The following is an 11,798-nucleotide window of genomic DNA, read 5'->3' on the forward strand; positions in this document are numbered from 1 at the left end:
TTTTGAGATGGGGTCTTGCTATGTTGCCCAGGCTGATCTTGAATTCCTGGCCTCAAGCACTCTTCCCATCTTGGCCTCCCAAAGTGCTGGGATTACAGGCATGAACCACCACGCCTGTCTGGGACAGAGAATAAGTCTTGATGGACTGGCTGTGGGAAAGGGGAGAAGGGTGTCAGGGATGACTCCTAGATTTCTCTTGAGCATGTAAGTCAGTGGCATGCAAAGAACATTGGAGGGACCTCTGCTTTTGGTCAACTTGGTATGTCAGGGACTAGATTCACCTTCTTACCTGAAACAGTTTTTTTAAATGGAAAATATATGAAATAATGATTTTCAGGATGCTGGACATCAGGCAACAAAGGACAGTAATCACTAAAGAGAAAGGTGAACTTTGTGACTGCCCCAAGCTTACTGCTTTGAAAGAATTTCCAGGCTGTGGTGCAGGGAGAGGGACCCAGGCAGAGGCTGGTGGGCTTCCTGAGTTGAAGAAATGGAGCTGAGAGTGTGGAGAGGCCAAGACAGCTAGAGTTCACAGGACAGCAGAGTACCGGAGAGGAGAGGGCGGCACAGAGAAAGAAGAGAGATCCACAGAGGGTCCTCCTGGAGTATTTAGCTGAGGACTGATCAGCACATTCATGTGAGGGAGCTTCTTGAGGATGAAGAAAGAACCATCCAAAAGGATTGGAAGGAACAGTGCCTGGCACCACTGGGCCAGTAATAGTGCCTACTCCCACTGGACTGGAGAAACCTCATCATTCACAGGACACCAGGGAGGACTCAAAAGGATCTTGCCTCTGTAGTGTGGAATACATCTGTCAAAACATACCAAACTATACACTTCAAATATGTGCATTATCATATGTGAATTATATCTCAGTAAAGCTTTTTACTAAAGAACGCTGTGGCTGGGTGCAGTGGCTCATGCCTGTAATCCCAGCACTTTGGGAGGCTGAGACAGGCAGATCACTTGAGATCAGGATTTCAAGTTCAGCCTGGCCAACATGGTAAAACCTCGTCTCTACTAAAAAGTACAGAACATTAGCCTGCTGTGGTGGTGCACGCCTGTAATCCCAGCTACTCAGGAGGCTGAGGCATGAGAATCTTGAGCCTGCGAGACTGAGGTTGCAATGAGCCAAGATCGCACCACTGCACTCCAGCCTGGGCAACAGAGCAAGACTCTGTCTAAAAAAACAAAACAAAACAAAACAAAAACAACAACCCTGGAGGAGGAACAGATTGTAAGGAAAGATTATGCATTTAGTTTTTGACATGGGGTTTGGCTTTGGTTGTTAACTGGAGACATTGTTTAGGCAGTTAAATGTATGAATGAGTGAGTTAGTTTTAGTGGGATGGTGGAGGCAGTTTGAAATGGAGTGAGGAATGAGTGGAAGGTAGGAAATGGAAACAGGATAGGGAGATAATTCTTTCAGAGTTTGACTCTTAAGAGGGACAAAGGGTGAAAGCTAGTGGGAGAAGTGGAGTCAGAGTTTAGTTGCTTTAGGATGATAGACTTAATATATATTTAAATCTCAATGCCACGATAGAAGATGCAGGTTAATCAAATATAAGTAAGGTTTCTGAGAGGGCGCAGGTGAATCAAATATAAGTAAGGTTTCTGAGAGGGTTTGAAGGCATAGCACTTAGAATATGGATGTGTTGGCTTTAGATTGGAAGAGAGCTACTTTGTCTACTCTTGTATAACAAGGGAAATGAGAGAGGATAGATGAAGATCAGGTTTGTGAGTTGGTGGGAAGATGAAGAGGTGCTTATATGTTGGATCCCAGACTGCTTTTCTGTATTTCTAAATTACATGCAGCCGGGCACAGTGGCTCACACCTGTAATCCCAACACTCTGGGAGGCTGAGGCAGGAGGCTCACTTGAGCACAAGAGTTTGATATTAACCCAAACAACATAGTGAGAACCCATCTGTACAAAAAATAATTAGCCAGGTGTGGTGACACACACCTGTAGTCACAGCTACTTGGGAGGCTGAGACAAGAGGATTCCTTGAATCCAGGAATTCGAGGCTGCAGTGAGCTGTGACCATGTCACTTTACTCCAGCCTGGGGGACAGAGTGAGACCCTATGTATAGTCTGTTTTCATGCTGCTGATAAAGACATACCCCAGACTGGGAAGAAAAAGAGGTTTAATGGACTTACAGTTCCACATAGCTGGGGAGACCTCACAATCATGGCAGAAGGCAAGGAGGAAAACATCACGTCTTACATGGATGGCGGCAGGCAAAAAGAGAGCTTGGGCAGGGAAACTCCTCCTTTTAAAACCATCAGATCTCATGCAGACCCACTTGCTATCAGGAGAACAGTATGGGAGAAACTGCCCCCGTGATTCAGTTATCTCCCACCAGGTCTCTCCTACAACACGTGGGAATTATGGGAGCTACAGGATGAGATTTGGATGTGAACAAAGAGCCAAACCATATCACCCTGTCTCAAAAAAAATAAATAAATTACATGAACACATATTAGGGAATGAGGAATTTATTAGATAGGCATTTTTTGGTTTTTTTTTTTTTTTTTTGAGACAGTCTCGCTCTTTTGCCAAGCTGGAGTGCAGTGGCTCAGCTCACTGCAACTCTGCAACTTCTGCCTCCTGGGTTCAAGCGATTCTCCTGCCTCAGCCTCCCAAGTAGCTAGGATTACAGGCGTGTACCACCACTCCTGGCTAATTTTAATATTTTTAGTAGAGACAGGGTTTCATCATGTTGGCCAAGCTGGTCTCAAACTCCTGACCTCAGGTGATCTGCCCGCCTTGGCCTCCCAAAGTGCTGAGATTACAGGCATGAGCCACCACACCTAGCCTAAATTGGCCATTTTTTTTTTTTTTTTTTTTTTTTGAGACGGAGTCTCACTCTGTCACCCAGGCTGGAGTTCAGTGGTCTTGGCTCACTGCAACCTCCACCCGGAAGGTTCAAGTGATTCTCGTGCCTCAGCCTCCCAAGTAGCTGGGATTACAGGCATGTGCCACCACGCGTGGCTAATTTTTTTTGTTTAGAGATGGGGTTTTGCCTTGTTGGTCAGGCTGGTCTCAAATGCCTGACCTCAAGTGATCCACCCGCCTTGGCCTCCCAAAGTGCTAGGATTACAGGCATGACCCACCGTGCCCGGCCCTAAATAGGCTTTTAATTGTAGAATTGACAACCAAAAATTTAAACATAATTTATGAATTAAAATTTTTATTATTTATTTATTTATTTATTGAGATAGGATCTCTGTTGCCTGGCTGGTCTCCCACTCCTGGGCTCAAGCATTTCTCCTGCCTTGGCCTCCCAAAGTGCTAGGATTACAGGTGTGAGCCACGTCACCCAGCCCACAAATTAAATTTTTTATTCTTAAGTATTCCTATTGTCTATTTGCCTTCTAGGCTATCGTGCAACAAATAACCAGCCCAAATCCCATCATCCATTGTCCAGTATAGTTGTGCTTTTCATGGCTGTTAGCAATCTTGAGTAAACCCTGGTGTCAGCTTAGAATTCCTAAGTGCTATGGTGTTTCTAAGTGAGATTGAGGGATATCCAAGAATAAACTTTGCTATTTAAGTGACTTTTTTTTTTTTTTTTGAGACAGAGTTTCACTCTTTTTGCCCAGGCTGGAGTGCAGTGGCATGATCTCAGCTCACTGCAACCTCTGCCTCCCAGGTTCAAGCGATTCTCCTGCCTCAGCCTCCCGAGTAGCTGGGATTGCAGGCGCCTGCCACCACGACTGGCTAACTTTTTGTATTTTTAGTAGAGACGGGATTTCACCATGTTGGCCAGGCTGGTCTCGAACTCCTGACCTCAGGTGATCCGCTTTGACCTCCCAAAGTGCTGGGATTACAGGCGTGAGCATCGCACCTGGCCGTAGGCTTAAACTTTTTAATACATGCCGATTTTATAGCTGAAAAATTATGTTTCAGTATTTTTAATACGCATTTCTTGGTTGCTAATAAAGTAATGTTTACTGGCCACTTGTTTTTCCTCCTTTTATGAATTTTCTGTTATACTGTTATAGTCCTTGTCTGTTTTTCTGTTGGTTGAGTTTCCAGGATTTAAAGATGAGGAAACTAAGACCTAAAAGAAGTGACTTTCCCAGGGCCAACTAGTAATTTAGTGATAGAATCAATCATCATAGCATGTTAAAGCTGGAAGGAATCTTAGAGATAGAGTCACAACCCTGTAATATAACAGATGCAGAAACAGAGGGCTAAAGATCTTAGGTGACTTACCTAAAGACAGCTACAAAGCTCATTAGTGACAGAACCTGGCATCTGAATCTTGAGATCATGAAAAGGGAAAGGCATGTTAACATTTATGAGCCTGTTATGTTTCTTACATGTGTATACTCATTTAATTCTCACTACTATTCTTTATTATTCCCATTTAAACAGATGAGGTAACTTGAGGTTCAGAGAGCTTCAATTATTTGCCCAGAGTCACAGTTATTTGTAAAACTGGGGCTGGAGTCCAGGTCTTCTGATTCTTAATCCAGGGGTTTCATTGCCTCATAATAGTAACAGTGGATGTCTCTTCGCTTCACTCAAATGCTCTTTTGATAAAATATGATTTGCTTCTTGGAGCTTGTAAATAACCTTTATTTCACAGTTCCTGCTGATACTGGACACCAGTCTGACACTTAAGACACTTGGAAGCTTAAGGAACTTTTTGTTATAAAGAAAAGCAGATCAAGGACCATCTTATGCTTATTGGGTGAATAGAATTGAGATCCATGCACTACATATGACCTAAATTTTTTTTGTTTGGTTGGTTGTTTTTTGAGACGGAGTCTTACTCTGTCGCCAGGCTGGAGTGTAGTGGCACAATCTCAGCTCACTGCAACCTCCGCCTCCCCGGCTTAAGCAATTCTCCTGCCTCAGCCTCCCGAGTAGCTAGGACTACAGGCATGCGCCACCATGCCCAGCTAATTTTTGTATTTTTAGTAGAGACAGGTTTTCACCATGTTAGCCAGGATGGTCTCGATCTTTTGACCTCATGATCCGCCCGCCTCGGCCTCCCAAAGTGCTGGGATTACAGGCGTGAGCCACCGCGCCCAGCCATGACCTAAGTTTTTTATGGTAGTGATAGTCTGTGTTGAAACTCTTAGCATTTCCTTAGAACTATTTTTATTCCAAGGAGAATAAAATCTTAATATATAAAATGAAAATGACATTTGGGTTCTGTGAAGTGTAAAACGGACCTCAAATCAACAAGGGGTCAGATAGGAGCAAAATCGAAACCATGTCAATTGCATCCTCCATATCTTTAAAAAAAAAAACAACCCATTTCTTGACAGGGCTCAAAATTTCAAAATCTATCAGAGCTAATTTGGTTGAGGCTTCATCCTATGGAGATACACAAAGATTAGTATTGACTTGTGTATAACTTTAATGACACTCTTGATTTGGTCCAGTTATGTAGAAGTTAGTTGGTAAAAACTGTTCTACATTTCTGCTTTGCAGAGAAATCTTGTGATTGGGTTGGTGTTTTTAAAACCTGCTAGTCGCATCTAAATAAGCTGGGGAAGATGGAAGAGAGCAGCATGTGATAAAATGTTCCTTTTTTCCCTTCCTATACTATTTTGTTAAAAGCCTTCTAGAATATAGGTACCAAAAATTAACTCACTTTATTCTTTCTAGTTTTCAGTAGTGGGGATCTGTTAAGCCTTATTATTTAAGAAATAGATATTAATTCTTATCTTTGGTATTTTTCTGATTTGCTTTATTGTAACAAGAGCTGCACATTAATTAACACATTAATCAGTGCATGCAGAGATGGTTACATAACAGTCTGAGCCATGAACTCAGTCCAGTATTGAAAAATAAGTATCTCCAGAAGTAATTCTTATTCTAGTATCAAACATAACAGTCCTTTAAAATTTCCTTTGGAATGTTGAAAAGAGATCAAATGAAACCTTCAGAATGGTTATTTATCAGGGAACAAGAAACCTCCAATTTCGTTCACCCATTGTAGCTCCACTTTCTCATTTTAATGCTCAATCCACAGTGGCGATGGTAAAAGATGTCCTGCACCTTCAGAGATGGCAGTGGGAGAGGGGACATCACCTTTCCATTTATTGCTTGTTGCAATTTGGCCTGTTTACAGACAGAATTGCTCTGTGGGTTCTTTTAGTGGAGAGTGGAGGAAATCAAGATAGGAACAAGAAATCAGCATTTACACATGACCCATGAGTTGGCTAATTTTTAACATGTAGTTAAGAAATGATTACAGCCTGCAGAGTCATGACCTCAACTTTTCATCAGCTCCATTGGATTGTGCCTCAGTTTGGAAATGAAGGAGGTACACGGGAAGTTTTAATTGTACCTGTGTGATTTATCCCTAGTCAGCTCTTTAATTTCTTCTGGCTGTCTGAGGTTTCCGACATGCTGTAAATTTCCCCAACTTTTTCATTATCTGCAATTTCTTTATGACTTGTGAATCGGAGTGGAGAGAGAGTGTGGATTTACAGCAGAGATAAACATGTCCATAAAGTCTGTATCTGTGTCAGTAATTGTACTGCTGTCAGTGACTGTCCTGTTTTACAGGCCTCTCTTGGGAAAGGAACAGGCTTCACTACCAGCAGCACTGAAGTGCTTGCTTTGATTTGCATTAACTTGCTAGGAGATTAGGTAGGAATGGTGGGATAGGAATTGATACTGGACCTTGGCCTCTCTTGTTTGTTTGAGATCAAATGACCTCCTAGGATAACTGTGTGTTGAAGATAGAACATGGACAGACAATATTCATTTCCTAAATGAAAATGAAACTTGAATTGATATGGTAGATGTGAAAAATCCTTTCTAACTTCATTTTATAATGTACCTTTAAGGTGACTTCCCTTTCCTATCACTGTTGATAATTAAACTTAGGTTCCCTCTGGCCCCCCTCCCCCATTTTCCTTTTCTTAGAATTAAAACACAGGGTTTCACTTTTAGAGCACTCATATCTGCTCAAGAGTGGGCCAGCTAGAGTTAAGGTGAAGACTACATCTGCCTTATCTTAATTCTCAACTATTATTGGCTCTTTCTCATCTGCTTAAGGTGGTGTGCCCACAACCATTTACCATGAGAAAGGCAGTCACAAGGAGCAATTCTTAATATAACTGTCTTTAAAAGGCTCTTTAGGATCTCTCTCTTTAGTGTTTTCTTCCTTATAGTAATTTTGAAAGAAACTGAAATTAAGAGAAGTCCTTTCTAAGTAGATGGAAAAGCAAACACATTGTTTTCTTCTAGTACATTTCATACTCAACAAATCCCTCAAGAATTGAAACTATCCTTGCATACCCTGAACCTTCTTTGAGGTAGGGATTTGTTGTTGTTGTTGTCGTTGTTGTTTTGAGACAGAGTCTTGCTCTGTCGCCAGGCTGGAGTGCAGTGGCGTGATCTCTGCTCACTACGATCTCCGCTTCCCGGGTTCAAGCGATTCCCCTGGCTCAGCCTCCCGAGTAGCTGGTCCTACAGTCGCGTACCACCACGCCTGGCTGATTTTTTATATTTTAGTAGAGACGGGGTTTCACCATGTTGGCCAGGATATTCTTGATCTCCTGACCTCATGTTCTGCCCGCGTTGGCCTCCCAAAGTGCTGGGATTACAGGCATGAGCCACCTCACCCAGCCTCTTTGAGGTAGTTTAAAAGCAGAGTAGGTGACAGAAGAGTTTAACAGTGAGGGGATAAGATGCATGATAAGCATCAACCTATAGTCAGCCCACAAGTCCAAATAATATACTGAGCAATTAAGTTGATTTCTCCATAAGTTCTCGTCTGCTTACATTCCTTTTTGACTGCAACTGACCATAGCCATTTTTTTTTATCATGGGAGTGGGAAGATTAAAGGAGGTGATGTGATACAAAATTGTTTGGCATCCTTCCAGAAGCTGTGGTGAAAAGTGTGGTTAAAATTGTTGCAAGAATAAGATTTGAAATTATCTGTGGTTTTAATTCCTTATCACATCTATTGCCATAGTAGAGTTTATTCTTACTTAACAAGGGATAAACTACTTTATTTGAGCAAGAGGGATAATCTCTTCAGGCCCCTTTGTCAGTCATTTCTTGTCCTCCTTTAGAACAGGGAGTTTTTTTTTTTTAACTCCTTAAAACATTTTTTTTAATAACACTTTGTTGAGATATCATTCACATACCATAAGGTTTATGTTTGTAAAGTTTAGTGTTCATTGGTTTTTAGCACACTCAACAATAAAAAACTATTTGGGTATCTAAACTATTGAGATAGTTTTCTCCTTTTCTTTTTCAGTCCATGCTAATGGTATTCCTCATGGAGTAAGCTTGTGAAATTACATTGTTACCTAATTCTAGTTTGAGGAAACTTCTAGTGTATCACTTGCTATGTCCAATGTAGCAAACAAATACAATAATCTAAAATTAACCTAACAAAACCTAGAGTTATTGTGCTAGTGCTGTAACTCCTTGTTTTAGGACCTTAAATTTTTTTCTTCAGTGAATGCGCAAGTTGAAAGTGCTTAACATTCATTTTGATGCAGACCTTTATTTTTTCTTTTATTAATTTTATACAATCTGATTGTAAGCACAGGTTTGGACCAAGTTAAGGAGTTTCACCTGTATGCCCAGTCAATATGTTGAAAGAAGAGTGAGAAGTCTAGCTGGGTCTGATTACAGAAATAAGCTTTCTAATTGCTTAGGTTGAAAAGCTTGTTATTACTAAGAATTTCTCTTCCCAGAAAATAGTTTGAAAGGTGGGGAAAGTATGTATTCTAGCTTCACAGGGGAAGCATTTTTCTTCTGATAGGAGGGAAAATAGTTTATAGTTGTTTGCATCCATTTCTGCTGCTGTCAGCTGTTAAGTTCAGTAAAAACAAGGGTTTAATTAGCCAACAGTCTCACAGTGTTGGAGGAAAACGTTATTAAAAAAGAAAAGAACAATACAATAAAATATTATTTGGATAATAAATTGTGTATCTACTGTTCTTTGAAATGACTCTGCAAGAGGGATTGATAACTTTGTATTAAAGGTTTAATAAATATAGGTGCTGGAGAATGATTCAATCACATGTCTCCAGGTTGAAAGAGGACCAGCAGCTGCCCCCCTTAATCAGAGTGAGAATGGAATCCAGTAGTAGCCAGGCTTGAAACTAAAGGGAGCGTTAGAGTATTGATCTGTTTACTTGTAGAAGGGATAATTATTGGGTTAAAATCCTTATGTGATGTTTTACTTTTTAAAATCCCGGATTTCCTTGGAACTATAATTTTAAAAACTTATTTCAAATTATCAAGTAAATGAATATCAATGCCACAAATAGGTCAGGAAAGAAGCCCCTCTTCACTAAATTAAGAAGAAAAGTCATTAAGTCTTCTTTTCCTCCAACAGTTCATTATGAAAAAATTTTGATCACCCAGCAAACCCCCCTCTGTGTGTGTATATTTTATATATGAATATATATATATATATATTTTTTTAATCTATATTACGTATTGATATTCTCTTCTTCCTTAGCCATTTGGAAGTAAATTTCAGACATCATGGCACTTTACCCCTAAATGCTTAAGAACACATCTCCTAAGAATAAGGATAGTTTTCTATATAATATTATCACATCCAACAAAAATAATTTAAAAAATCTAATATATTTTCACATTCAGACCTCCCCAATTGTCCCTAAAAATCTTGTGTAGCATTTTTATTAAAACCAAGATCCAGTCCAAGTTCTGGCATTGTAAATGCCATTACATTCTTGATAAGAGAACATTGAGCACTAAATTCTTCACAGCAGCTCTCTTTTTTTTTTTTTTTTTTGAGATGGAGTCTTGCTCTGTTGCCCAGGCTGGAGTGCAGTGGCGCGATCTCAGCTCACCACAACCTCTCCCTCCTGGGTTCAAGTGATTCTTCTGCCTCAGCCTCCCGAGTAGCTGGGATTACAGGCCACGCACCACCATGCCTAACTAATTTTTGTATTTTTAGTAGAGACGGGGTTTCACTGTGTTGGCCAGGCTGGTCTTGAACTCTTGACCTCGTGATCCGCCTGCCTCAGCCTCCCAAAGTGCTGAGATTACAGGCATGAGCCACCGCGCCTGGCCTCACAGTAGCTCTTTTAATAAATATTTACCAGCTTTTTCCTGTGGTGAACATATATTTACTCAAATGACTATCATTTTCTTCTAGAATATTGAGTTTTGAGTTCTCTCTTTACAATAAGCCTGCTTTATCAAGCTCCTTTATTTCTGGTATCCTCTCCTTCTTCCAAATGAATTACCTGTAGAATTGATATTTTCTCCAATAACTACTCTATTCCACAGTCAGAGTAATATTTTTGAAACACAAATTGACATGTGACCTTATTCCCTTCTTCTTAAAATCTGTCAACAGCTTCTCATTGTTCTCAGGATCAAGTCAAAAACCTTTAACTTGGCCTTACAGCTCTGCCTGATCTAACGTTTTTCACACCATGCTCCCTTTCTGAGCATGTGTTCCGCACATTCAGAAAACAGAGGGAAAAGTGAGGTAAATAATCCAGGGAACACCTCTTGGAAGAGATGAAACTTGAAATAGAATTTGATGTCTAATATTTGTATATAAGAGGAAAGAATACACTTCAGAATGGGAAGGAATTTTTGAGAATGGATAAGATATTTTGGGGGAAAATTGATAAATTGTAACAGACTAGAGAGATGAGTCAAAGTGATTTCAAGATTTTAAGCCCTTGTGACTAGGAGAATACAATTTAGTGTGGAACTGAGATATGCATTATAAAACTTCAGTTTTGTTTGCTAAGGTGTTGTTAAAGCATCTTTGAAGGCCAACGTGGCATGATCACTTGAGGCCGGGAGTTCAAGACTAGCCTGGACAGCATAGCGAGTCTCCATCTCTACAGAAAAATTTAAAAATTAGCTGGTGAGGTGGCTCAAGCCTGTAGTCTCTGCTACTTGGGAGGCTAAGGTGGGAAAATCACTTGAGTCCAAGAGTGAGGCTGCAGTGAGCTGTGATTGCACCCTCACCCCACCCCCTATCCTCTGCACTCCAGCCTGGGAGACAGAGTGAGACCCTGCCTCAAAAAAAAAAAAAAAAGGCATCTTTGAAATGAATAACTTAACAATTTAAACTACTATCAGGGTTATATAGGTGAAAAGGTTGTGAATATATAGTCTGTTAATTATGATAAAGTGCAACCATATATAACAGGAAATCTAAAATAATTGTGGCTTACACAAGGTAGCATTTTTTTTTTTTTTTCAACAAAAAGGAAAGCTGGAGGTAGATGCACCTAGCAGGTAGGGCAGTTCCAAAGGTGTCATCAAGGACTAAAGTTTCCATCCTTCCATCCTAAATATACTTTATACACGCTAGAGCTCTAGCCATCATGCCTGAATTGTAGGCAAGAAGGTGGGGTAGGAATTTAATTTAAAAAAGGGATCCCACACAGCTGACACTTTTCTTTTTAAGCAGCCTTCCTGGAAGTCCCACAGAATTTAAATCACCTGGCCTGGCTGCAAAATAATGTAATTGTTTATTCTGAGCTATAATTTTGGTAGCAAAAAAGTTGGCTATCTGTTAATACAGAGGAAGAGGGAACATGGATCTTGGAATAGGCAGCCAATATTCTCTGCCATAGCAGGGGACAAGAGACCTTTGCAAGAGCAGTGGGGTCAGTAGAAGGATGTGAGGTGATGTGTTGAGAAGGAAGCTCAGAATTAGTGATTTTACAGGTGCATGTATGGACTTAGTGATCTTGTTTTCTTTACCACATTAAGCTTGTTTGGTGCTCCATAAATGGGTGACTGCGTGCCCAACATCTCCTGTTAAAGGATCTTGCAGACCTTTTTTTTTCCCCCTCCCT

At 40.5% G+C, this 11,798-nt stretch overlaps 1 protein-coding gene and 1 long non-coding RNA gene across 4 annotated transcripts in view; one reads left to right on the plus strand and one right to left on the minus strand.

Moving 5' to 3' along the window:
* Positions 1–11,798, plus strand: part of LIN52 (lin-52 DREAM MuvB core complex component) — a 116,538-nt gene that overhangs the window by 42,801 nt on the left and 61,939 nt on the right. The window contains exon 6 of one of the 3 annotated variants that reach the window (XM_017021764.2): positions 338–897. The exons of the other annotated variants lie outside the window; for them this stretch is intronic. Within the exon in view, the coding sequence (XP_016877253.1) occupies positions 338–339 (2 nt within the window). The 3' untranslated portion in view covers positions 340–897. Of the gene's footprint in view, positions 1–337; positions 898–11,798 lie in introns of those variants that run through there. 3 annotated transcript variants of the gene reach the window in all.
* LOC105370563 (uncharacterized) overlaps positions 1–11,798 on the minus strand; it is a 45,899-nt gene that overhangs the window by 31,094 nt on the left and 3,007 nt on the right. The window lies entirely within an intron of this gene.

This window comes from Homo sapiens, chromosome 14 (assembly GCF_000001405.40).
Source record: "Homo sapiens chromosome 14, GRCh38.p14 Primary Assembly".
Lineage (NCBI taxonomy): Eukaryota > Metazoa > Chordata > Mammalia > Primates > Hominidae > Homo > Homo sapiens.